This window comes from Homo sapiens, chromosome 6 (assembly GCF_000001405.40).
Source record: "Homo sapiens chromosome 6, GRCh38.p14 Primary Assembly".
Taxonomy (NCBI): Eukaryota; Metazoa; Chordata; class Mammalia; order Primates; family Hominidae; genus Homo; species Homo sapiens.
Genome location: NC_000006.12, coordinates 35,680,276 through 35,707,621, shown reverse-complemented (window position 1 = coordinate 35,707,621; position 27,346 = coordinate 35,680,276). Strand labels below are relative to the sequence as shown.

Genomic DNA, 27,346 nt, shown 5'->3' with positions numbered 1-27,346 from the left:
AACTCCCTTAACATGAGTTCACCTATATTACAAACCTGCACATGTACCCCTGAACCTAAAATAAAAGTTAAAAAAACAAGTTAGGTCAAAAGTCTTTTCATGGCCGGGCGCGGTGGCTCACGCCTGTAATCCCAGCACTTTGGGAGGCCGAGGCGGGCGGATTACCTGAGGTCAGGAGTTCGAGACCAGCCCCATCATGGAGAAACCCCGTCTCTACTAAAAATACAAAAAAAAAAAATTAGCCGGCCGTGGTGGTGCATGCCTGTAATCCCAGCTACTCGGGAGGCTGAGGCAGGAGAATTGCTTGAAACTGGGAGGCAGAGGTTGTGGTGAGCCGAGATCACGTCATTGCACTCCAGCCTGGGCAATAAGAGTGAAACTCCATCTCAAAAAAAAAAAAAAAAAAGTCTTCTCATACTTACCAGTGATCTGAATTATGAAAGTAGTTCAAGTATCTGGTAATAAACTTAAAACAATATAAAGAGAAATACAATAAAAACGAGTCCTTTTTCCTCCCTAGATTCCCAGTCCCATCCCCTTAGGCATAACCACCGTTAAGAGTTTCTTGCATATCTTTCCATAAAGTTCCACTGGGACTTTAATTACATTTAACTATACATATAAGATTTTTAAAAAGTAGAAGTGGGAGTATCCATTATACTCTGTTCTATGCTTTGCTTTTTCACCTAATATATTTTATAGATTTTTCTATGTAAGCACATAGATACATACCATATTCTTTTAAATTGTTGCATATGTTGAATGGCAAAGCCATAATTTAATAAAACAATCCCCTGCTACTGATGATCAAATTGTCTTTAGTTTCTTGCTGTTACAAATACCGCAGAGAACATCGTTGTATATATAGTTTGGCCAACATGTAGGAGTACAGCTATAGAATGAATTCCTGGAAGTGGAATATTAGGTCATTGAGTATGTGGGTTTTAAAATTTGATAAACATTGCTAAATTGTCTGACAAAGAGGTTACACAATCTTCACTCCCACAAACGAAAATGGCTTTGCCCTGTTTCCCACATTCTTACCTATACTGTATATTATCAAACTTTTAAATCAAGTAGATACAAATGGCATATCATTATATTAAATTGCATAATTTTCATTATGAGTGAGGTGCAGTATCCTCTTATGTATTTCTTTTTTCTTTTTCTTTTCTTTTCTTTTTTTTTTTTTTTTTTGAGACAGAGTTTCACTCTTGTTGCCCAGGCTGGAGTGCAATGGCACAATCTTGGCTCACTGCAACCTCCGCCTCCTAGGTTCAAGTGATTCTCCTGCCTCAGCCTCCGGATTAGCTGGGATTACAGGCATGCGCCACCATGCACAGCTAATTTTTGTATTGTTAGTAGAGACAGGGTTTTACCATATTAGCCAGGCTGGTCTTGAACTCCTGACCTCAGGTGATCTGCCCGTCTCGGCCTCCCAAAGTGCTGGGATTATAGGCATGAGCCACTGCGCCTGGCCCCTCTTATGTATTTCTAAACTATTTGTTTGTTTGAGACAGAGTCTGGCTCTGTTGCCTAGGCTGGAGTGCAGTGGTGCCATCTCAGCTCACTACAAGCTCCGCCTCCCAGTTCAAGTGATTCTCCTGCCTCAGCCTACCGAGTAGCTGGGATTACAGGTGCAAGCCACCACACCTGGATAATTTTTGTATTTTTAGTAGAGACGGGGTTGTGCCATGTTGGCAAGGCTGGTCTCTAACTCCTGGCCTCAAGTGATCCATGTGCCTGGGCCTCCCAAAGTGTTGGGATTACAGGTGTGAGCCACTGCATCTAGCCAACATTTTCCCTTATATTATCTTTATAGTTTCATCTTTTACCTTCAGATCTTTGATTCATCTGGAGTATTTTTGTTGTAAGAAATGAGGTAAGGACCTAGCTCCCCTCACCCTCCTCACCCCCAGATAGCTAATCAGTTTTTCCACCATTAGTACTGAATACTTAAATGTTTCCTCACTGCTCTGAAATGTCCATAGGTAGTTAGAACTATTTCTATATTTTATATTATTTCATTTGCATGATTTAATTAAAATATATTTGCAGGCCGGGCACAGTGGCTCATGCCTGTAATCCCAGCACTTTGGGAGGCCGAAGTGGGCAGATCATGAGGTCAGGAGTTCGAGACCAGCCTGACCAACATGGTGTAACCCCATCTCTACTAAAAATACAAAAATTAGCCGAGCATGGTGGTGTGTGCCTGTAATCCCAGCTACTCAGGAGGTTGAGGCAGGAGAATTGCTTGAACCTGGGAGGCAGAGGTTGCAGTGAGCCAAGATCACGCCATTGCACTCCAGCCTGGGTGACAGAGTGAGACACTGTCTCCAAAAAAAAAAAAAAAAAAAAAAAAATATATATATATATATATATATATATATATATATATATATATATATTTGTACATATATATATATTTGCATTTCACATGGCAGAATCAAATTGTTTGTTGTTGTTGTTGTTGTTGTTTTTGAGACGGAGTCTTGCTCTGTTGCCCAGGCTGGAGTGCAGTGGCGCGATGTCAGCTCATTGCAAGCTCCACCTCCCAGGTTCACGCCATTCTCTTGCCTCAGCCTCCTGAGTAGCTGGGACTATAGGCACCTGCCACCACGCCCGGCTAATTTTTTGTATTTTTAGTAGAGATGGGGTTTCACCGTGTTACCCAGGATGGTCTCGATTTCCTGACCTCGTGATCCGCCCGCCTCGGCCTCCCAAAGTGCTGGGATTACAGGTGTGAGCCACCGCGCCCGGCCAGCAGAATCAAATGGTTTCAGTGACAGTTTTGTACTATGTTATCATCTCTGGTAGGGCTATAATTCTTTTTCAGAATTTTCATAGCAGTCTTTACATGCTAACTTTTCCAAATGAATTTTAGAATCAGTTTGTCAAGGCAAAAAAAAAAATCATATTGTCATTGGGATTGCAAACAGTAAGTATTTTTGTACCTCAGTCTACAAAAATATACAATTTATAAACAAAGGCCTATATGTGATATATGGTATCTATAAATCCCAAAAAAACATGTTGACAAGCTATCGGGCTTTCTCCCGAGGCTCCCACTGATCTTGGTGTCTCAAAGCAGCTTCTGCAACTGGGAGATTGTCTTAGGAGCTAAATCCAGCCACCCAGATATATTCCTGGTTTTTGAGCAATAAAGATGGAAAACCATTCTTTCCTCTTGAGGTGTCACTGGATCATCAGAAATGGTACAACCAAATGAAGGCAGCAGGTGCCACAGTGGAGTTCAGCACCTTAGGAAGAACAGAAAGAAGCAGCTTGAGATCTGGCAGTGGTCATCCTGGAAACCACAGTGGCCAACAGACTTCTCTGGGCTCTCAATTACTTGTCTGTGAGTCTGTGGGCCTGGAGCTCCTTTCTAGATACCTGCCCCCACTTCTCTATAGAAGTATAAACTGCAGTGTGGAGGGGAGAGAAATTTCTCAAGTTTGCACAACTATTTAGTGAAAGATCAGAGACCAGAAACCAGGTGTATCATTAGTGGATCTTACTTACAAGCAACAGAGTCTTATCTGACTAGACTGAGCAGAAAGGGGGCTTATTTCAGGTTGTTAGGTAACTCACAGAATCGTTGGGAGGGAGGAGAGAGACAGATTCCAGGCTAAGCTTCCAGGGGTAGTGGCTACAATCACATTGCAGAGAAAATGGCTGCTACCACCATTGCTGAACACTGATGCTGAGAACTTAATGTTAGCACAGCCACTCCTGCCTCCAGCACCAATGCCAAATTCAACTTCAGGAACTTGACCTTACAACCCCTGGGGAACCACTTCTGTTGCCACTGTGACCACCAAGCCTCCTGCTGTGCACTTCAGAATTGAAGTCTTTCTTGGGTGTGTGATTGGTAGAACTGGGTCACATGTCAATGTTCTAGCTGCAAGGGAGGCTGGGAATCTGAGTTCTGACTTCTAGTTTGAGAGGCAAAACCCATAATAGAGGAATTTCCCCAAGTATAGAAAGGCCAATTAGAATTGGACCAATACTTCAAAGACAACTACATATGCTAGACAAATATCTTTAAATATTTTAAAATTGATAAATAATATTAGTACATATTTATGGGGTACATGTGATATTTTGTTACATGCATGGAATGTATAATGATCAAATCAGGGTATTTAGGATATCAATCACCTTGAGTATCATTTCTATGTGTTGGGATTTAACTTTTATTTTTATTTTTTTTGAGATGGAGTCATGTTCTGTTGGCCAGGCTGGACAGCAGCTTGATCTCAGCCCACTACAACCTCCGCCTCCCGGGTTCAAGTGATTCTTGTGCCTCAGCCTCCCGAGTAGCTGGGATTACAAGTGCCCACTACCACACCTGGCTAATTTTTTTTTTTTGAGATGGAGTCTTGCTCTTGTTGCCCAGGCTGGAGTGCAGTGGCATGATCTCGGCTCATTGCAACCTCCACCTCCCAGTCTCAAGCAATTCTCCTGCCTCAGCCTCCCAAGTAGCTGGGATTACAGGTGCCTGCCATCACACCCAGCTAATTTTTGTATTTTTGATAGAGACAGGGTTTCGCCATGTTGGCCAGGCTGGTCTTGAACTCCTGACCTCAGGTGATCTGCCCGCCTTGGCCTCCCAAAGTGCTGAAATTACAGGCATGAGTCACGGCACCCAGCCTGAATTTAACTTTGAAAAAACCTTTTTTTTGATAAAATACGAATTTTTAAATGTATTATTCCTTTAGTTTCATATCAAATAAATCTTTGTTTAACACAAAGTCACAGAGATTTTCTATGTGTTCTAATAATGTTAGAGCTTTTGGTTTTGCATGTAGGTCAGGATCCATTTTTAGTTAATTTTTCTATGTGGTGTGAGATACAAATCAGTTTATATGGCTGGGCGCGGTGGCTCATGCCTGTAATCCTAGCACTTTGGAAGGCCGAGGCGGGTGGATCACGAGGTCAGGAGATCGAGACCATCCTGGCTAACACGGTGAAACCTCATCTCTAGTAAAAATACAAAAAATTAGCCGGGCGTGGTGGCGGGCGCCTGTAGTCCCAGCTACTCGGGAAGTTGAGGCAGTAGAATGGCGTGAATCCAGGAGGTGGAGGTTGCAGTGAGCCGAGATCATGCCACTGCACTCCAGCCTGGGGGACAGAGCAAGACTCCGTCTCAAAAAAAAAAAAAATCAAAGTTTATATTTTGCATGCCATTATCCAGTTGTTTTAGCACCATTTGTCAAAAGACTATCTTTTCTTTTCTGTCTTTTTTTTTTTAACCTTTATTGTAGGTTCGGGGTACATGTGAAGGTTTATTACATAGGTAAACTCATGTCACAAGGGTTTGTTGTAGAGATTATTTAATCATTCAGTAATTATGATTTAAATCTTAAATGCATCAAAAACCTAACGAGATAGTGAGGAGTTATTGGACCAAGATAGAGGAAAATGTAGGAGTCCAGAGAGGTTAGGGTTGCCAGATAAAAATACAACATTCCAGCCAGGCATGGTGGCTCACGCCTGTAATCCCAGCACTTTAGGAGGCCAGGATGGGCAGATCACTTGAGGTCAGGAGTTCCAGACCAGCCAGGCCAACAAGGTGAAACCCCATCTCTACTAAAAATACACAAATTAGCTGGGTGTGGTGGCGCACACTTGTAATCCCAGCTACTTGGGAGGCTGAGGTATGAGAATTGCTTGAGCCTGGGAGGCAGAGGTTGCAGTGAGCCGAAATCATGCCATTGCACTCCAGCCTGGGTGACAGAGTGAGACTCCACCTAAGAAAAAAAAAAATACGGCATTCCTGGCCAGGTGTGGTGGCTCACACCTGTAATCCCAACACTTTGGGAGGCTGAGGTGGGAGGTGTGCTTGAGCCCAGGAGTTCGAGACCAGCCTGGGCAACATAGTGAGACCCTGTCTCTACAAAAAATAAACAAAATTAGTAGGGCATCATGGTGCACATCTGTAGTCCCAGGTACTCAGGAGGCTGAGGTGGGAGGATTGCTTGAGCAAGGGAGGTTGAGGCTGCAGTGAGCTGAGATTGCACCACTGCACTCCAGCCTTGCAACAGAGTGAGACCCTGTCTCAAAAAACAAACAAACAGGCCGGGCGTGGTGGCTCACGCCTGTAATCCCAGCACTTTGGGAGGCCGAGGCGGGCGGATCACGAGGTCAGGAGATCGAGACCATCCCGGCTAAAACGGTGAAACCCCGTCTCTACTAAAAATACAAAAAATTAGCCGGGTGTAGTGGCGGGCGCCTGTAGTCCCAGCTACTTGGGAGGCTGAGGCAGGAGAATGGCGTGAACCCGGGAGGCGGAGCTTGCAGTGAGCCGAGATCCCGCCACTGCACTCCAGCCTGGGCGACAGAGCGAGACTCCGTCTCAAAAAAAAAAAAACAAAAAAACAAAAAACAAAAACAAACAAACAAACAAACAAACAAAAACACAGCACTCCTAGTTAAATTCTTATCTGAATTTCAGATAATGGATAATTTTTCAGTGTGTGTCCCAGTTAAATTTGAATTTCAGATAAACACTGAATACTTTTTTCATATGCAAATTATGTTCCTGCAATATTTGGGATATACTTATACTAAAAAAAGTATTTGTTGCTTATCTGAAATTAAAATTTAACTGGACATCCTATTTTTAAATTTTTTTATTTATTTATTTTTTAATTTATTTTTTAGATGGAGTCTTGGTCTGTTGCCCAGGCTGGAGTGCAGTGGCTTGATCTTGGCTCACTGCAGCCTCTGCCTCCTGGGTTCAAGTGATTCTCCTGCCTCAGCCTCCAGAGTAGCTGGGATTACAGGTGTGCACCACCATGCCCGGCTAATTTGTTGTATTTTTAGTAGAGACAGGGTTTCGCCATATTGGTCAGGCTGGTCTCGAACTCCTGACCTCAGGTGATCCGCCCACCTCGGCCTCCCAAAGTGCTGGGATTGCAGGCGTGAGCCACCGTGCCTGGCCTTTTTTATTTATTAAATGTGGCAACTCTACCAGAGAGGTGAGCCCAGCACTCGGACCTGCTTTTGCCCAAGTGCATTTGCCAATCTGAAGGAGCCATTGGAGAGGCTGAGCCATACCTTTGAAAGCTTCTTGGGATTAAGGGTATGAATTTGGAGTTCGGGGCCTACCAAGGTGGATACCCTGACAAATCACTCTTGTGATAGACTGAGCCATGGCTACGGGTATTCATATCCTGTGTATCCCTTGATTCTGGGCTGCTCTGTGACCTGCTTTAATTAATAGAATATAGTGGTAGTGATGTTGTGCCACTTCTGGCTTAAGCCTTAAGAAGGCAGCTTCATATAAAAATTAGCCAAGTGTGGTGGCACATGCTTGTAGTCCCAGCTACTTGGGAGGCTGAGGCAGGAGAATCGCTTGAACCCAGGAGGCAAAGATTGCAGTGAGCCGAGATTGCACCACTGTACTCCAGCCTGGACGACAGAGCGAGACTGTCTCAGAAAAAAATAAATAAAATAAAAAAGAAGTGGCAGGCACATAGCAGCCACAGGTCCGTAGCAATTCTGAAATCCAGCTGGACACAATTCCTTAGTTAAGTCCTTGTTCTTCAGGGTAGTTGCATTTTTTTCTTTTGGACAGAGTCTCACTCTGTCGCCCAGACTGGAGTGCAGTGGCGCAATTTCAGCTCACTACAGTCTCTGCCTCCTGGGTTCAATCTATTCTCCTGCCTCAGTCTCCCGAGTAGCTGGGATTACAGGCATGCACCACCACACCTGGCTAATTTTTGTATTTTTAGTAGAGATAGGGTTTCGCCATGTTGACCAGGCCGGTCTTGAACTCCTGACCTCAGGTAATCTGCCCGCATCGGCCTCCCAAAGTGATAAGATAACAGGCGTGAGCCACCATGCCTGGCTATTTCCTCCTTTTTAGTAAGTGTCAATTATAATTTTCTCTTCCCTGCCTCACCATTGTGTGTGGGGAGTGGATAACTTGTCTCTTAAGTTCAAAGATCTTCAGATCGAGAGCAGCATCCATTGAAATTGAAGCCTCATTCGTACTTGGCTTTAATTTAGATGAGGAAAGTATGGACGTCAAGCTCAATACTAGCACATTAATGGGGTGAGACTTTGGGGGGAATTAAGGAGCAGTGAGTGTATTGTACATGTAAGAGCAAGTGAATCATTAGGAGACAGAAGATGGACTGTGATAGAGAGTAACCTTGGTCGTCCCCAGATAACTGTGTATCTGAATATTCACACCATTGTTAGTTCCCTCCCCTTGAACCTGGACTGGGCTGTAACGTGTTTTAACTAAGAGAATGTGGTAGAAGTGATGCTGTGTCAGTTACAGATGTAAACCTTAAGAAGGCCTGACAATTTCCATATTTGCCCTGTGGAGGAAGCCAGACACCATGTTCAGAAGTCCAATCACCTTGAGACCAACACGCTGTGAGAAACCCAACCTAGCTTCATGGAGAGCCCATGTGGAGAAGAGCTGGAGACCCTTGCCAACATCACAGCTAGGGTCTTACTTGCCTTCCGTGTGAGTAAGGCCAGTTTGGAAGTGGATCATTCAGCCCTGTTCAAGTTGCCCCAACCCTTGCCACATAGACTAGAGACCAGCTGTCCCTGCCAAATTCTGTTCAAATTGCAGAATCATGAGCAAATGATGTGGTTTGGATTTGTGTCCCCACCAAATCTCATGTCGAATTGTAATCCCCAGTGTTACAGGTGGGACCTAGTGGGAGGTGATTGGATCATAGGGGTGGATTTCTCATGCATGGTTTGGGCACTATTCCCTTGGTGCTGTTCTTGTGATAGTGAGTGAGTTCTTGTGAGATCTGGTTGTTTAAAAACGTGTTGCACCTCCCTGCTCACTCTCTCTCTTGCTCCTGCCATGTGAGAGGCCTCGATCCCCTTTTGCCTTCTGCCATGATTAGAAGCAGAAGCAGAAATCACTATGCTTCCTGTACAGCCTGCAGAGCCACAATCCAATTAAACCTCTTTTATTTTTCATTTATTTATTTATTATTTTTTGAGATGGAGTCTTACTCTCTCAGGCTGGAATGCAGTGGCGCAATCTTGGCTCATTGCAACCTCTGCCTCCCAGGTTCAAGCGATTCTCCTGCCTCAGCCACCCGAGAAGCTGGGATTACGGGCTCCTGCCACCAAGCCCGGCTAATTTTTGCATTTTTAGTAGAGACAGGATTTCACCATATTGGCCAGGCTGGTCTCCAACTCCTGACCTCAGGTGATCTGCCACCTAGGTTTCCCAAAGTGTTGGGAATACGGGCGTGAGCCACCGCGCCCGGCCTTATTTATTTATTTATTTATTTTAAGATGGAGTTTCACTCTTGTTGCCCAGGCTGGAGTGCAGTGGTGCGACCTCCACTCCCTGCAACCTTCACCTCCCAGGTTCAAGCGATTCTCCTGCCTCAGCCTCCCGAGTAGCTGGGATTACAGGCATGCGGCACCACGCCTGGCTAATTTTGTATTTTTAATAGAGACGGTGTTTCACCATGCTGGTCAGGCTGGTCTTGAACCCCTGACATCAGGTGATTCACCCACCTTGGCCTCCCAAAGCGCTGGGATTACAGGCGTGAGCCAACACACCCAGCCACCTCTTTTCTTTATAAATTACCTAGTCTCAAGTATTTTATAGCAATGTGAGAATGGACAAATAACAGTGAGTAAATATGATAGTTGTTGCTTAAAGCCAGGAGTAAGCAAACTATGACCCATGGCTGGTTATTTGTTCTTTTATTTTTATTAACAGCTTTATTGAGATATAATTCACATACCATACAGTTCACCCACTTAAAGTGTACAGCACAATGGTTTTTAGTATATTCGCATATGTGTGCAACCATTACCATGGTCAACTTTATAATAATTTCTCAAAAAGAAATTCTGTATTCTTTACCTATCACCTTCCCATCCTCCCCTCTCCTACACCTCCAGCCTTAAGAAATCTATGTATTGTTACCTGTCTTCCCTGTTCTGGACATTCCATATGAATGTAATCATATAATATGAGATATTTTATGACCGACTAGTTTCATTTATTATGTTTTCAAGGTTCATACATGTTGTAGCATCTATTAGTACTTCATTCTTTTTTTTTTTTTTTTTGAGACAGAGTTTCACTCTCGTTGCCCAGGCTGGAGTGCAATGGTGCCATCTTGGCTCACTGCAACCTCCACCTCCTGGGTTCAAGCGATTCTCCTGCCTCAGCTTCCTGAGTAGCTGGGATTACAGGCATGGGCCACCATGCCCGGCTAATTTTGTATTTTTAGTAGAGATGGAGTTTCTCCATGTTGGTCAGGCTGGTCTTGAACTCCCGACCTCAGGTGATCTGTCTGCCTCGGCCTCCCAAAGTGCTGGGATTACAGGCGTAAGCCACTGCTCCCGGCCTTACTTCATTCTTTTTTTATGGCCAAATAGTGTTCCATTGTGTGTTCACATTTTGTTTATCTATTCATTAATTGTTAGACATTTGAATTGGGCCCACCTTTTGGCTATCATGAATAATGCTGATATATACATTGGTATCCAAGTATCTGTTTGAGTTCCTGCTTTTAATTCTTTTGGATAAATACCTACGAGTGGAATTACTGGAATATATGGTAATTTTATATTGAAAATTTTAGGATTGCCAAACTGTTTTCCACAGAGGCCATACCATTTTACATTCCCACCAGCAATGCATGAAAATTCCAGTTTCTCCATATTCTCACCAATGCTTGGCACCCTTGTCAAAAATCAGTTGACCACAGATGAGTGAGATTATTTCTGGACTTTCAATTCTATTCCATTTCTCTATAAGTCTATCCTTTTCCAGTACCACACTGCATTGATTATTGCTGCTTTGAAGTAAGTTTTGAAATCAGGAAATATGAACCCTCCTACTTTGTTTTTCTTCTTAAACATTGTTTTGGCTATTCTTGGTCTAATGCAATTCCATATGAATTTTAAAATCAGCTTGTCAATTTCTATAAAATAGTCATCTCAGATTCTGATGGGGATTGCATTATATCAAAAGATCAATTTGGGAAGAATTGGCATTTTTAACAACGTTAAGTCTTACTTAACATTACTTAATCCATAAACATTAACATTACTTAATCCATAAACACAGGATGTTTTTCCAATTTTTTTTTTTTTTTTTGAGACAGAGTCTGGCTCTGTTGCCCAGGCTGGAGTACAGTGGCATGATCTCAGTTTACTGCAGCCTCCAACATCTGGTCTCAAGCAATCCTCCCACCTCAGCCTCCTGAGTAGCTGGGACTACAGGTGCATGCCACCATGCTGGGCTAATTTTTTGTAGAGCCAGTGTCTTGCCATGTTGTCCAGGTTGGTCTTGAACTCCTGGACTCAAGCACTCCTTCCACCTGCCTCCCAAAGTGCTGGGATTACAGGCAGGAGCCACCGTGCCTGGCCAGTTTTTCCAATTATTTAGATGGTCTTTAATTTCTTTTTTAAAAAACCTCTGCATACATTCCACTAAAGACTGTCTTTTTTTTTTTTTTTTTTTTGAGACAGAGTCTCACACTGTCGCCCAGGCTGGAGTGCAGTGGCACGATCTCGGTTCACCGCAAGCTCCGCCTCCTGGGTTCACTCCATTCTCCTGCCTCAGCCTCCCTAGTAGCTGGGACTACAGGTGCCTGCCACCATGCCTAGCTAATTTTTTTGTATTTTCTGTAGAGACAGGGTTTCACCGTGTTAGCCAGGATGGTCTCGATCTCCTGACCTCATGATCCTCCCACCTTAGCCTCCCAAAGTGCTGGGATTACAGGTGTGAGCCACCACGCCCGGCCTAAAGACTGTCTTTAATTTCTTTCAACAATGTTTGTTGTTTTCTAAGTTTACACTTCTTTCATTAAATGTATTCCAATAAAATGTATTTTCTTCTTTTTGATGCTATCATAAATGAAATTGTTTTCTTAATTTCATCTTTGGATTGCTCATTGCAAGTATGTAGAAATACAATTGATTTTTGTTATTTATCTTGTATCCTGCAACCTTGCTGAATTTGTTTGTTAGTTCTAATAGTTTTTTAGTAGATTCCTTAAGATTTTCCATATACAAGGTTGTGTGTCTGTGAAGAGATAGTTTTATGTCTTCCTTTCTAGTTGGATTCCTTTAATTTGTATTTCTTGCCTAATTGCCCTGGATAGAACCTCCAGTATAACATTAAATAGAAGTGGTTGGAATGACTGTGTATGGTGGCTTATGCCTGTAATCCCAGCACTTTGGGAGGCCAAGGCAGGTGGATCACTTGAGGTCAGGAGTTTGAGACCAGCCTGGCCAACATGGTGAAACCCAGTCTCTACTAAAAAATACAAAAGATTAGTCAGGCGTTGTGGCGTGCACCTGTAATTTCAGCTACTTGGGAGGCTGAGGCATGAGAATCCCTTGAACCCAGGAGGCGGAGGTTGCAGTGAGCTGAGATCAAGCCACTGCACTCCAGCCTGGGTGACAGAGCGAGACTCTGTCTTGAAAAAACAAAACAAAAATAAATAGAAGTGGTTGAAATGGACATTCTTCTCTTATCCTTGTCTTATTTCCTGGGGAAAGCATCCATTCTCTCACCGTTAAGTATGATATTGGCTGTAGGTTTCTCATAGATGCCCTTTATCAGGTTGAAGATGGCTGCGTGTTTTTGTAAATAAAGTTTTGTTGGGACACAGACATGCCATTTGTTTATTTATTATATGCTGCTTTGTGCTATATGGCTGCTTTGTGCTATAATGACAGAGTTGAGTAGTTGTGACAAAGACTATATTGCTTGCAAGTCTAAACTATATACTATCTGGTCCTTAAAAAAGTTGGCTGGACATCGTTTTAAGCCACTAAATTTTGGAATAGTTTGCTATGAAGCAATACATAACTAAAAAAACCCCAATCTTAGACTGGGACCCCAAAGAACTGCACAATTGAGTAAAGGGGAACCGTAAAAAACACACACTAAAAAGAAAACAAAACAAAAATGCTTCCATAGACTGTAGTCCAGCTCTGAGTCATCAGATGACTCAGAAAATCTGGAGCCCTGAAATTGAGTTAAGATGATCCCAGACTGCTGGTGCCCCTAGATGCCTGGTAGCAGCAAATGGAAATATTTCCCAGAGGAAGATATTACTATTGTTACTTAAAATGATTTTTTAAAATACAATGTCCAAAACATAACCAGGTATATGGTGACATGAGAATGAATCACTAAAAACTGATAATGGGGCAGGGAGTGGTGGCTCACACTTATAATCCCAGCACTTTGGAAGGCCGAGGCAAGAGGATCACTTGAAGCCAGGAGTTCGAGACCAGCCTGGTCTCTGCAAATAGTGAGACCTGTCGCTACAAATAAAAAAAATTAACCAGACATGTTGGCACACACCTGTAGTCCCAGTTACTTGGGGGGCTGAAGTGGGAAAATCGCTTGAGCCTAGGTGGTCAAGGCTGCAGTGAGCCATGATCACGCCACCGCACTCCGGCCTAGGTGACAGAGTGAGACCCTGTCTTGAAAATGAAAACAAAAATAGAAACTGGTTGGGTGCAGTGGCTCACACCTGTAATCCCAGTATTCTGGGAGGCCAAGGCAGTAGGATCCTTTGGGCCCTGGAGTTCAAGACCAGCCTGGGCAGCATAGAGAGACTCTGTCACTATTTTTTTTTTAAAGTAAAAAGCAAAAACAATATTTGACAATGGAAGCAGATTCACAGGAACTCCAGATTAGAATTATCAGTTATAGACCATAAAACAACAATACTATGTTTAAGGATGGATAAGACAAGCCTGAAAATTATAGCAGGGTACTGGGAAATACATGAAGTGGCATAGCAGATTTGAAAAAGAACCAAATAGAGGCCAGGCACAGTGGCTCACACCTGTAATCCCAGCACTTTGGGAGGCCGAGGCGGGCGGATCACCTGAGGTCAGGAGTTCAAGACCAGCCTGGCCAACATGGCGAAACCCTGTCCCTACTAAAAATAAAAAAATTAGCTGGGCGTGGTGGCATGTGCCTTGTAATCCCAGCTACTTGGGAGGTTGAGGCAGGGTAATTGCTTGAACCTGGGAAGCGGAGGTTGCAGTGAGCTGAGACTGTGCCACTGCACTCCAGCCTGGGCGACAGAGCAAGACTCTGTCTCAAAAAAAGAAAGGAAAGAAAGAAAGAAGGGAGGGAGGGCCAAATAGAAATTCTAGACTTAAAGAGTAGAATAACTGGCCGGGCGCAGTGGCTCACACCTGTAATCCCAGCACTTTGGGAGGCCGAGGCGGGCGGATCAGGAGGTCAGGCGATTGAGACCATCCTGGCTAACATGGTGAAACCCCGTCTCTACTAAAAATACAAAAAAATTAGCTGGGCGTGGTGGCGGGCACCTGTAGTCTCAGCTACTTGGGAGGCTGAAGCAGGAGAATGGTGTGAACCTGGAAGGCGGAGCTTGCAGTGAGCTGAGATCGCGCCACTGCACTCCAGCCTGGGCAACAGAGCCAGGCTCCATCTCAAAAAAAAAAAAAAAAAGAGAGAGAGAAAAGAAAAAGAATAGAATAACCAAATGGAGCTCAATGGTTGGGTTTAAGATGAGATTTTTTTTTTTTTTTTTTTTTTAGCTGAAAAGAGACTGAGTGAGCTGAAAATAGAAGAAACTTATTAGGACAAAGCATAGAAGGATAAAAGACAGAAAATACAGAATAAAGGGATGAAGTAAGAAGGTTGAATGTGTTTCAACTGGAGCCCCAGAAAGAAAGAAGAAAAAGGACAGAAATCGTATTTGAACATATAATGTCTGAGAATTGTTCAAAACTGAGGAAAAACTATTCAAAGGTGATAGGCAGCCGTGAAATGACAGATATCCACTCTACCGTGTATTCTCTTCTTTTTTTTTTTTTTTTTTGAGACAGAGTCTCACTCTGTCACCCAGGCTGGAGTGCAGTGGTGCAATCTTGGCTCACTGCAACTTCCACCGTCTGGGTTCAGGCAATTCTCATGCCTCAGCCTCCCAAGTAGCAGGGACTACAGGCGCACGCCCAGCTAATTTTTGTATTTTTAGTAGAGACAGGGTTTCACCATGTTGGCCAGGCTGGTCTCGAACTCCTGACCTCAGGTGATCCGCCCACCTCAGCCTCCCAAAGTGCTGGGATTATAGGCATGAACCACCACGCCTGGCATACTCTGACTCTCAAAAACCTTAATGTACAAAGCTGCCTTTAAAAGGATTCTGAAACCAAGATGAAGGTAGCTCGGTAGTAGTTGGAACAGGGCTTGCCTGGGCTGAGTTCAAGTACAAGCTCTGCTACTTCCTAGCTGTGCCACCTGGAGAAAGTTGCCAAACTTCAATTTTTTCAAGTAATAAATGAAAATAAAGAGTAACACTGGCCTACCCCATTGTGAGAATCAAATGATAAGTTCGGGCAAGGTGGCTCACACCTGCAATCTTGACAGTTTAGGAGGCCAAGGTGGGAGGGTCTCTTGAGCCCAGCGGTTCCAGGCCAGCCTGGGTAATAGAGTGAGCCCTTGTCTCTAAAAGAAAAAGGAAGACAGAAAAAGAGAATCAAATGATAAAATGCATGTGAATGAGTCTAGTGAATGCGAAGTGCTTTTAAAATGAGATGTGGTTTGAGCAGTTCCACAAGCATGCCCAGGGTCACTACCAGTGACAGGCAGGACTGGCCATATAATTTGCAGGGCCCAGTGAAAAATGAGAGTGCAGGGCCCTTTGTTGAGAAAGTACTAAGAATTTCAAGACGGCGGCAGCAGAGCATTAGACCCAGCACAGGGCTCTTCTAAGTACACGGCCCTGTGTACTACACAGGTCACATACCCATGGAACTGGTCTTAGGTACAGACCCTGCAAAGAACCGTACTGTGCCTTAGGAAAGGGCTGCTCATCCCACATCCAGGTATCTGCAGCCATAGCGCATGTCATCTTTGAATTCTGAAGGGCAGTAATGTTTAGGGAAAATGCAAGCACATGTGTTTCCAAATGCCAAGGAAGGCAAGTGCAGTGATCAGAGTGGTTTTCTGGGAGAGTGGGTGGGGCTAGCAAGGCTGCCATCGGAACTGTGGAACTGACTGTTCTCCACAGACTCTGGCCTAGAAAAAAAAAGAACCGTGTAGCTGTATCTACAGGGCCTGTTGTTGTTGCTGCGGTGTATTACAACACAGCCTGGCAGCCTCCCCTGCCTTTCTGTCTTCCTCCTGGAAGAGCCTGGTCCCAGACATGTGACACGTCCACACAGCCCTCTGCAGATTTGCCCACACTGCTCCTCACTGTTCCCTCAATTATTAGGCTTTTCCAGGTCTGCATGCTTTTTGCTCACGCTGTCCCCTCCTGCCTGGGAGTCCCTTTCCCCCTTGTCCACACCCCTCTGTCTGGCAAACACCTACTTCATCTTCTAAGATTCAGCTCTACTGTCAGGTGACCTCTTCAATGACGCCTTCCCTGCCTCTCGTAGGAAGAGCTGATTCCTCTTTCCTTGGCGCCTTCCATTGTGCCCTATGCAGACATCTGTCACAACCCCTGTAACATGAAGAGGAGAACTGACATGTTACGTGTATGTCACTGTCTCCTAATGAAGCCCTTGAGGGTTGGGACATATATACCCTGATAGCATAGAGCTTAATATGTGCTGTTATTTTTATTTTATTTTATTTTATTTATTTATTATTATTTTTTTTGAGATGGAGTTTTGCTCTTGTTGCCCAGGCTGGAGTGCAATGGTGCCATCTCGGCTCACTGCAACCTCCGCCTCCCGGGTTCAAGCGATTCTTCTGCCTCAGCCTCCCGAGTAGCTGGGATTACAGGCATGCGTCACCATGCCTGGCTAATTTCGTATTTTTAGTAAAGATGGGGTTTCTCCATGTTGGTCAGGCTGGTCTCGAACTCCCGACCTCAGGTGATCCGCCCACCTCTGTCTTCCAAAGTGCTAGGATTACAGGTGTGAACCACTGTGCCCTGCCTAATATGTGCTATTATTAAGCATAGTAGATGCTTAATCAATTGGTATTAGTATGCAGAGGAATTTTGATCAACTTTGTTTTTCTGCGTTAATGAACAAATACATTGTTTCAGTGACTCCCCTCGGCAACTGGTAAACAGGGAAGCTTCTAGGCACTGAGGACAGACAAATGACTGAGACAGAACCCCTGCCCTCGAGGCGGTTTCAGTCTTGGCTTTATTTGTCTTTTCTGCAGACATCATCACCCTTTTTTTTTTTTTAGAATGGAGTCTCGCTCTTGTTGCCCAGGCTGGAGTGCAATGGTGCGATCTCGGCTCACTGCAACCTCTGTTCAAGCAATTCTCCTGCCTCAGCCTCCTGAATAGCTGGGATTACAGGCATGCGCCACCATGCCCGGCTAATTTTTTAAAATTATTTTTAGTAGAGACGGGGTTTCTCCATGTTGGTCAGGCTCGTCTCGAACTCCCGACCTCAGGTGATCCGCCCATCTCGGCCTCCCAAAGTGCTGGGATTACAGGCGTAAGCCACCGCGCCCGGCGCCCAGGCATCATCTCTTGAAGGCAGCATGGCGATTTCTGGACGAGGCTCTTCATAAATGTTTGAATGCAGTATAGTGCAAAGAGAGCAGGTTTGGAGCCAGGAGACATGAGTTCTAATCTGGCTATGGGATATTAGGTTTCCATAGGTAACTATTAGGTCCCACGTGTAACTAGCTATGGGACATCAGGTTTCTGTTTCCTTAAAAATGAGAGAGTTGATTAGAGATTCCCTAAGGCCCAGGTGCAGCTCCTGCATCTCTATGGGAGTAACTCAGAGGTAGCCATCTGGTTGGCAGTCTACCTTTCGGAGTTGGCGGAAGAACTCAGCCGTTTTGTTTTTGTTTTTGTTTTGAGATGGAGTCTTGCTCTGTCACCAGGCTGGAGTGCAGTGGCGTGATCTCGACTCACTACAACCTCTGCCTCCCAGGTTCAAGCGATTCTCCTACCTCAGCCTCCCGAGTAGCTGGGACGGCGCGCGCCACCAAGCCCAGCTAATTTTTGTATTTTTAGTAGAGACGGGGTTTCACCATGTTGGCTAGGATGGTCTCGATCTCTTGACCTCGTGGTCCGCCCACCTCGGCCTTCCAAAGTGCTGGGATTACAGGCGTGAGCCACCCCACCTGGCCGAACTCAGCCGTAAGGCCTCTTCCTGTTTTAATCTCCTGGGATCTCCTGCTTGAAAGGTAGCAAGCCAAGAGAAAGTATGGTCTTTACAGTCACTGGGTGTCCAGAGGGAGGTGATATCTGCTAAATTGGTTCTCGAGGTGGGATTTCCCCAGTCCCGACTGGGCATCTTAGACTTAATGGGGTTGCTTCCTAGGGCTAACCTGGCCAGCTGACCTAACAAACAGCCTGGCCTGCCCCTCTCCGGCCTCTAGGTAGGCCCTGTGGACAGATAGGAGGGGCAGTGCCTTCAGAGAGACGATACAGATGGGAAGTCAACTAGCTTGCTTAGGCATTAATTTCTCGGGAGGTAAGAGATGTGAGGGGGTGTCAGTTTCCACCATCCCTTCTCTATGGCCCCCACAAAGGGCAAGGGCCAGACACGTGGGCTGGCGTGGGGAGGTGGAGGAGCAAATGATGGGGGCGGGGCCTCATTTGCATGGACGGCGCGCGGCCACCAATCCGGACAGGCGGATCGACAGCCCGCGCGCCTTTTGGGGGCGGACTGACAGCCCCGGGGCCCTATGGAAGGCGGGTCCTGCGGCCGGCTGGGGCGGGACGGCGCCGGGCGCTGCCCCGGGGATTCGGGCCGGCTCGCGGGCGCTGCCAGTCTCGGGCGGCGGTGTCCGGCGCGCGGGCGGCCTGCTGGGCGGGCTGAAGGGTTAGCGGAGCACGGGCAAGGCGGAGAGTGACGGAGTCGGCGAGCCCCCGCGGCGACAGGTACCGGCGCCATGGCCACGGAGATGGGGCGGCCGGCCGCGGCGCCCCGGGAGCCGAACGCCCTCCTTCCAGGTCCCGCCGCGGTCGCACTCGCTGCCTCAGCTCCCACCCCCACGCGGCTTCGCAGCCCAGGAGCCGCGTGTCGCGGGGGAGCGGGGTCCGGAAGCCTCGAGGGGAGCGCGCGGGAGGCCTCGGCCCCACTGCGGCGCCCCTCGCCGCGCCCCAGGGGCCGCGGGGCCGGTGCTCCCCGCGGGAGGCGCGGAGACTAGTGACCGCGGGCGCCGCTCTCCGCCCCCGCCGGCCTCTCCCGGCAGAGGCGAGGCGGGTCGCGCCCGCCCGTCCTCACTGGGCTTTTGTTTCCCGCCCGGGATGACAGGTCCCGCTCCGCCTCCGGTCTCTGGCCCCCGGCTCTCCCCGGACAGGCGGCCGGACCCTCAGCCGGCACCGCTGCGGGCGGGAGCCAAACTTCGCTTTCGGGTCCGGGCGCCGGGACAACCGGACCCCAGGGCGAGCCGAGCGCCGGGACGCCGCGGGCGCGGGGCGGATTCGCCCACCTGGCGGGGCTGTGAAGGGGATGGTGGCGGGGTGGCCGCGCTCCGGGTGTGGACGGGCGGTCCCCGCCTTCACCTGCCGCCTCGGGACAAGCGTTGGGGAACCGCATCGCCGCTGTCGGCCGCTTGTGGAGGAGTCCGCGCAGCGCCGTCTAACAGGTGATCCGCGTCACTCCCAGGCCATACCGAAGCGGCTGAACGCTGTGCCAGGGCTCCTTATGCTCTTCTGTTCTGGGACGTGAAAACGTCTTCCGCCTTATTGGTCGTCCAAAAAGGTGCACCGGTCACAGTATAAGAGTCAAAAACCAGTATTACCAAAAAGACACTACGAGCGTCAGGGTGCAGAGTGGCTTTCTTCGATTAACGAACCGGCAGGACCATCGTAGTCTCTAAAATCGGGTTCTGCAGTGGTGGCGAAAGCGTAGTAAGTTTCAAGTTGTAAGCGGAGATGCAGAATTGTAGATACCCTTCAGTGTGGTTCAGGACAGTGTGTTCAGCGTTTGGCCGCCGTTCAGTAAATTCTGCATGAAGCAGTTTGAGCTCGTGGTTTTGGATTTACTTTTCAGGAGTATGTTTTCCAGTGGAATAAGGCTTACTACTGAATGGGAGCTTTCTTTGCCTCTCTGAGTGTAGACAGGAGTGTTTATTTTCATTGTCTTCCCATTTTGTTAGATTGTGGACAAGGGAAAAGTTAAAGCATATTTTGGTTAAGTATTTTTAATAGTCTGGGATTCTATCCACCTCCTCCATAAGGGTTTTTACTTTAGAGAATTATAAAGTAATTCTCTAAAGGGAGCTGCTTCTCTTGGTGTTTGAATCAAAAGCCAAGAATCGACTTGAAAAAAATTCTTATTCTGGTGGGAAATTTTTATTGTCATACTTTCACTTCACCATTTTCTGTTTGTCTCTCCCCCAGCTGACCTCTGCCTGACAGTCTGCAATTATGGCCCTGACCAATTTAGAGATTCTATACAAATGACATTTTTAAAACGAGGGTTATTAATACTCATTATTTGTGAGAAACACTTTATTTAGTTACCCAGTTTTTTTCTTCTAATGTGTCTTGGTTGATATCTGTATTAGGTAAGATTTATACTTCGGAGATTAAGTTTAAGTTAAGAACAAAGTTGCTAATCTTGATTTAATTATGCTAGTTTATTATTCATTGAATGGTCATTTTACTTATTTGCCTAGGTAATTACAGTTAGCTAATAGCTGATAAGAGTTCGCCATTGAACCATCAACTCTTCAACCAATAATTGTGACTATTTTAGATTAAAAAGAATATAGTGGTCTTTATTGTTTTATTTCTCCATAACAAGCTATGAGGTCTTTGTATGTTTCTGAGTCTTTAATTCTTTTAGTTATGGGAATTTTGGGTGAATTTCTTTTTTAAAACATATTTTTAATCAGTTCAAATGAAAAACTTAAAATATTGCATTAGGCAACTTATTAAATCTTTAGTTATCTGTTTATTCTTGGAAAATAATGCATATTTTGGGTTCAGTTTAGTTTCCTAAAGGCTTCTCTGCTTAGGATGAATTAGTCTGGAGAGGAAAGAACATCCTGTTTGTATACCTGTAGAAGAAGTTACTGCTGTTAAAAGCTAAGTTGGCTTTTTGATGTTTAGTGTGGATAGGTTGAACAATAATTCATCCTCACGTTCGGAGGGCTTATTCTATGTAAATAGTTGAAAGGAACTGGATAAGACTGTAGCTTCCATTATTTTTTATCATTTATATAATTGCTCTTTAGTGTACTTAAATATATAAAATACTATTAATAATTAGTTGTTTATTGTCCTTATTCTGTGATGATGTATGTATATAAACCACATACAATAAAGTTGCATTTCATAAATTTATTTACATATGTGTATTTTAGTATTTTAACTATAAAAGTTAAAGTTTTATTAACTTTAGGTTTAATTAAAAGCCCATTTTAAAATTTAGTTTTTAGATATTTTAATTACTGATTTTTCTCTACTTTAACTTGTAATAGATGATATCATAAAATTATCAACTACAATTTCAGTTTCAAAAATTAAGCATAAGTTGAATTCTCAAATCCACACAATAAACATTGGGAGTGTTTTTAAAGCCATTTACCCTCAGGTATAACTCCTTTTGAGTTTGGAGGTGATAGTAAGTATTTTTAAATAAATGAAGCTACAGAAAACAAGGGCTTACATTAAAACAACTAATTTTGAGGCTAGATCAAATGCCACTATTATAGACATTAGTTTTGCTTTTTTTTTTTTTTTTTTTTTTGAGATGGCGTTTTGCTCTTGTTGCCCAGGCTGGAGTGCAAGGGCGCAGTCTCGGCTCATTGCAACCTCTGCCTCCCGGGTTCAAGCGATTCTCCTGCCTCAGCCTCCTGAGTAGCTGACACTACAGGCCTGCGCCACCATGTCCGGCTAATTTTTGTATTTTTAGTAGAGACGGGGTTTTGCCATGTTGGCCAGGCTGGTCTCGAACTCCTGACCTCAGGTGATCCACCCGCCTCAGCCTCCCAAAGTGCTGGTATTACAGGCGTGAGCCATCGCGCCTAGCCTAGTATTGCTTTATTTAACAGTAATATGCTTGCTGTACCCGGCATGAAGAATTCCTCTAAAGACCATTAATTAAAATAAGTTTTCATAATTCCTAAAGAATAATCTATATTATACATATTGGCACACTAAATTTTGTAATTCATGTTTAACAAATATCTGCATTTTATAATTCTGAAACTATTTGAACTTTACAACTTAGCTGATTAGTAGATTTTGTTTTTTAAGTATTTTATATTTCTAAATTTTTCTGCAGTACATTTTAGTGCATTTTAAAATTCTGACATCATATCCCCAAAAGTATAAAGAAAATTAAATCTACATTCAGTAGCGACTGGGTGGTGGTGGTATGTATGTCACATAACTATTGATTTAAAACAATAACCACTTAAGTGTAATTTAATTTGCAAATGAGATGTTTATTTACTATGTAAAAGACAGTACTGCCAAATGAGACTGGCTAAAATAATTTACAGTGGGGCCATATGTACTAGCAGGTTACTAACAGATTAATAAGGATATTTTAACAATATTTAGAACACTAAAATTCCACTACTCAAAATAATTTGTACTTCTTATAGTAGTTTGAGAACCTACATTTTATGCTTAATTTAGTATTTACTTCTAGTCTTTTTTTTTTTGAGTCGGGGTCTTGCTTTATTGCCCAGGCTGGAGTGCTGTGGTGTCATCATGGCTCACTGCAGACTTCCCAGGCTCAAGAGATCCTCCTGCCCAACCACCTGGTCTCAAGTGATCCTCCCACCTCAGCCTCCCAAGTAGCTGGGGTTACAGGCACACACCACCACACCTGGCTAATTTTTAAAACTTTTAATTTTTAGTAGAGATAAGGTCTCACTATGTTGCCCAGGCTGGTGTCCAACTCCTGAGCTCAAGTGATCCTCCTGCTTTGGCCTCCCAAAGTGCTGGGATTATAAGTGCGAGCCACAGTGCCAGGCCGACTTATAGCCTCTTGGAAAACATTTGGTTAATGAAAGTGAAGGTCCACCAGAGGGAGTGTGGGGTCTATATATTTGTTGTATTTGTTTTTTACCCTTGGTCTGGAATCAAAACATTTAAAAAATAAGAATAAGATTTTATTTTAGTTCTCTAAAACAATCAGTCAAAAGATATTGAAAATTGTGATTGTAGTTGTTTGGAGTTGCTGTCATTTTTGTTATCAAAATCAAGGCTTAATCAAGGCTGTTTTTCTTCTTAGAAAAAGGTGGCGAGGTGCAGTGACTCACGCCTGTAATGCCAGCACTTTGGGAGGCCAAGGCACGTGGATTGCTTGAGCCCAGGAATTTGAGACCAGCCTGGGAAACATGGTGAAACCTCCTCTCTACAAAAGTACAAAAGTTAGCCAGGTGTGGTGGAGTACACCTGTAGTCCCAGCTACTTGGGAGGCTGAGGTGGGAGGATCACTTGAGCCTGGGAGGTTGAGGCTGCAGTGAGCGGTGATTAAGCCATTGTACTCCAGCCTGGACAACAGAGCGAGACCCTGCCTTAAAAAAAAAAAAAAAGATACAATTACTGGAAAAATGAAAATGATGTATTTTCAAAGTGAAATAATGGGTTTTTAAGTAAACAGTCACACATCTGTGAAAGCTAAGGAATGTCCAAATTCTTTATTTTATTATTATTATTTTTTGAGACAGGGTCTTGCTCTGTTGCTCAGGCTGGAGTGCAGCGGTACAGTCTCCGCTCACTGCAACCTCCATTGGTTCAAGCGATTCTTCCTGCCTCAGCCTCCTGAGTAGCTGGGATTACAGGTACACACCACCACGCCCAGCTAATTTTTGTATTTTTGGTAGAGACGAGGTTTTGCCATGTTGGCCAGGGCCAGGCTGGTCTTAAACTCCTGATCTTAGGTGATCCGCCTGCCTCGACCTCCCAAAGTGCTGGGATTACAGGTGTGAGCCACCATGCCCAGCCTAGGAATGTCCAAATTCTGATAATGTTTTATAAGATTAAAAATATAGGCCAGGCCAGGAGGTCAGGCGTTGGAGACCAGCCTGGCCAACATGGCAAAACCCCATCTCTACTAAAAAAAAAAAAAAAAAAAAAAAAAATTAGCCAGTCATGGCAGTGCATGCCCTTAGTCCCAACTACTCAAGAGGCTGAGGCAAGCAAATTACTTGAACCTGGGAGGTGGAGGTTGGAATGAGCTGAGATTGCACCACTACACTCCAGCCTGGGCAACACAGTGAAACTCCATCTCAATAAAAAAAAAAGTATATATATATACCAGGCATGATGTCTCACACCTGTAATGTCAACACCTCAACACTTTGGGAAGCCAAGGCAGGAGGGTTGCTTGAGCCCAGGAGTTAGAGACCAGCCTGGGCAACATAGTAAGACCCCATTTCTACAAAAAATATAAAGTTCTCCAGGTGTGGTAGCTTGTATCTGTGATCCCAGCACTTTGGAAGGGTGAAGCAAGAGAATCACTTGAGCCCAGGAGTTCAGTGCTGCAGTGAGCCACCATACTCCAGCCTGGGGGACAGAGCAAGACCCAGTCTCAAATACACACACACACACACACACACACACACACACACACACACACACACACACACACACATATACGTATATATATACACACACACTTTTTTTTTTAAAGAAAGAGCTTGGGATATATATTTCTATACTTTTTTTAAGAAAAAGATTGGAAGAGACATATATATACACACAGACACATACATACATTTTAAAGAGATTGACGTATGTTTTTAACCTTTTTTTAAAAAAGAAATGGGATATATATATATATACTTTTTTTTCTTTTTTTTTTTTTTTAAAAGAGATTGTTTCTTGCTCTGTCACCGAGGCTGAAGTGTGGTGGCTAACTGCAGCCTCGACACAAACTCCTGGGCTCAAGCAATCCTCTTGTCTCAGCCTCCCAAAGTGCTGGGATCCCAGGCCCAAGCCACCATGCCTGGCTTAAAAATGTAGTACATTTGAATTGTATCCTTTTGAAATTGTTCGTTTTTTGGAAAGAAGAATAAGAGATGAAGAAAAATCAGACTGGAAGAGGGTTGTTTTTTCCCTTTTGTAGTTGCAAATCCTAAGTGGGCAGTGGTAAATTTCTAGAATCATTTGTAGCATTCTGTTTTAAACTTGGCAATTTAAAGATGTTATAAATGAGGAGTCCCCAGAAAATGGTCATTTCATTATCAAAAGCAGGGTTGCAAATTTCAGATTGATCTTTTCAAAAGTTAGATTTGTACTTGTTCTCAGTGTTCCTATCTCTGGAAACTAAAGAACCTCCTCCATTGTTAGCTGAAAATTGCACAGTGAATTTGAAAGTCAAGATGTCCCAGTCATGGACATAATGCTGCGATAGGTTACTTTTTGGAATGGAGAAAACATCTTAGAGATTGAGTCTGCATCAGAATATATTCTGAATGAGCATGGAATGTTCTTTACCCATGTTAGATATTAATTAATTAAGTTTTTCCATGTTTAACTTTTTTAAAAAAGCAAGACAATAAAAACAGTCTTGTAATCTGAACACATATTTTGGGTTTTGTTGCTAGCATAAAAATTATTACCTAGTGGATGGTAACACTGTTTTGAAATTCTAGCTTGGAGGAGATGTTTGTTACAAGAGAAAAGGTGTTTCATTGAAACCTAACAGGGTAATTTACATGGAGAGATACTTGTTTCTCTTTTGAGTTATTGTTAGGTTAAGACATAAACTTAGAAAAATTGAGATGCTCATCTTTCCCATCTTAGATTTACTTTCACTATGAACTTTATAAATTCTTTTTTTTGAGACAGTCTCACTCTATCGCCCAGACTGGAGTGCAGTGGCGTGATCAGAATTATTCAAGCTTATGTATGTGTGTGTATTACACATATATTACACATATGTATAAATATCAAATATCTTTTTTACATTATATATAATGGTATATATGGTTGCTATATGTTTTATGTGTGTATAGCAGTATCTATCTATACTGCCTTATTTCCCAGGCATATTTATATGCGAAACTTTTTTTCTGTGAAATCTTATTGTACCAAGAGGAATAAGTATATATGCCCACAAAAAGACTGGGTCATAGCAGCTTTTTTCACAGTAGGAATAAACTACTGATTCACATAGCAACATAGATGAATCTCAGAAATACTGTTCATAGCAAGAGAAGCCAGGCACAGATGAGTATGTATAAGTGTTTATGATGCCATTTATGAAAAATACAAGAACAGGCAAAACTAAGGTATGGTGATAGAAATCAGGACAGTGGTTGCCTCTGGGTAGGGGTTGTGGTTGACTGGAAAGGAGCACAAGGAAACTTTCTGGCATGATGGAAATATTCTGTAGCTTGACTTGGGTGATGGTAATTCAGTTATATACTTTTTGGGTAACTTCGTTTTCATGTAATTTTTAACTTACAGAAAAGTTGCAAGACTAGTACAAAGAGCTTCCGTATACCTTTATCCAGTTTTGCCAATTGTTATATACATTTACTCAAACATATTGATTCAAACTTAAGATTTTATAGTATGTAAATTTTACTTTAATAAAGGAAAGAAAGCTAAAAAAAGTGTTGAAAATGAGGATGATCTTGTTATCTAAAAAACATGAAATACCTCAGTTAGGAATTAACCAGTGGTTTAATAATGATGAGAAAAAGAATCGTTGGCTGTCTTTTGTCTTCATGTATATGTATTTATACTGCTTTTCACTAAAGACTCATGACATGTTTCTGTTAGAAGAAACAGGATCCTCAAAACGATTCAAGGTAGAACTGCCTACAAGGCAAACCTGCTTTATTTTGTTATCCTACACATGTCACCTAGGGAATGTGACTGAAACCTAGCAATAGCTTTCTGGGAATTGGAAGTTGTGACTGTTTCTGTTAAAAGAGTTGTATACCTACAATGTGCTAGCTGTTGCAAAGACATGAACAGTTTTTACTATCCTAGAACTTAGCCAAAGAAGAGGAGGCATACAAATCTGGTTGTTGTTTTTGGGTGGTGCTATTTTTCATAGGCAGGAAAGACATTGGTGTTTGTAAACTAAACTATTCTTGATCATTGGTAAGTGGTAAATCTGTCACTGTCTACTAGATTTAATGTTTCCACAGCCTCAATAGTGTGATTTGATTTAGATTAAATCAATTTAAATCATAGCTTAAACAATAATGGCTAAAAAAATTCAACTTTCCAATTCTACTACTTATTTTATGTAATTTTTAGTATGTGTTCATTACAATTTAGTATTAGGCATAATTAATGGATATTGGTTCTTTTTGTTTTTTCTTTTGAAACAGGGTCTAATTCTGTTGCCCAGTCTGGAGTGCAGTAGTGCGATCATAGCTCACTGCAGCCTGGAACTCCTGGGCTCAAATGATTCTCCTGCCTCAGTTTCCTGAGTGGCTGGGACTATAGGCGTGCACCACCATGTCTGGCTAATTAAA

General features: G+C 43.7%; 1 protein-coding gene across 4 annotated transcripts in view, besides 5 other annotated features; it reads left to right on the top strand.

Annotated features, from left to right (window-relative positions):
* Positions 1–27,346, top strand: part of FKBP5 (FKBP prolyl isomerase 5) — a 154,994-nt gene that overhangs the window by 20,962 nt on the left and 106,686 nt on the right. For 2 of the 4 annotated variants that reach the window (NM_004117.4, NM_001145777.2), the window contains exon 1: positions 18,707–18,818. The exons of 1 other annotated variant lie outside the window; for it this stretch is intronic. The gene's annotated coding sequence lies outside the window, so the exon portion shown is untranslated. Of the gene's footprint in view, positions 1–18,706; positions 18,891–27,346 lie in introns of those variants that run through there. One more of the 4 variants, NM_001145776.2, reaches the window with a different exon arrangement.
* Positions 3,724–3,924: a silencer, noted in NCBI's record as "peak5775 fragment used in MPRA reporter construct". NCBI's record gives its function as "represses an SCP1 promoter by STARR-seq MPRAs in K562 erythroleukemia cells {active_cell/tissue: K562}" and the evidence as "EXISTENCE:reporter gene assay evidence [ECO:0000049][PMID:32103011]".
* Positions 18,478–19,327: a silencer, noted in NCBI's record as "silent region_17096". NCBI's record gives its function as "represses an Ori minimal core promoter by ATAC-STARR-seq in GM12878 lymphoblastoid cells {active_cell/tissue: GM12878}" and the evidence as "EXISTENCE:reporter gene assay evidence [ECO:0000049][PMID:35858748]".
* Positions 19,588–19,677: an enhancer, noted in NCBI's record as "active region_24410". NCBI's record gives its function as "activates an Ori minimal core promoter by ATAC-STARR-seq in GM12878 lymphoblastoid cells {active_cell/tissue: GM12878}" and the evidence as "EXISTENCE:reporter gene assay evidence [ECO:0000049][PMID:35858748]".
* Positions 19,698–19,767: an enhancer, noted in NCBI's record as "active region_24409". NCBI's record gives its function as "activates an Ori minimal core promoter by ATAC-STARR-seq in GM12878 lymphoblastoid cells {active_cell/tissue: GM12878}" and the evidence as "EXISTENCE:reporter gene assay evidence [ECO:0000049][PMID:35858748]".
* Positions 24,164–24,364: a silencer, noted in NCBI's record as "peak5774 fragment used in MPRA reporter construct". NCBI's record gives its function as "represses an SCP1 promoter by STARR-seq MPRAs in K562 erythroleukemia cells {active_cell/tissue: K562}" and the evidence as "EXISTENCE:reporter gene assay evidence [ECO:0000049][PMID:32103011]".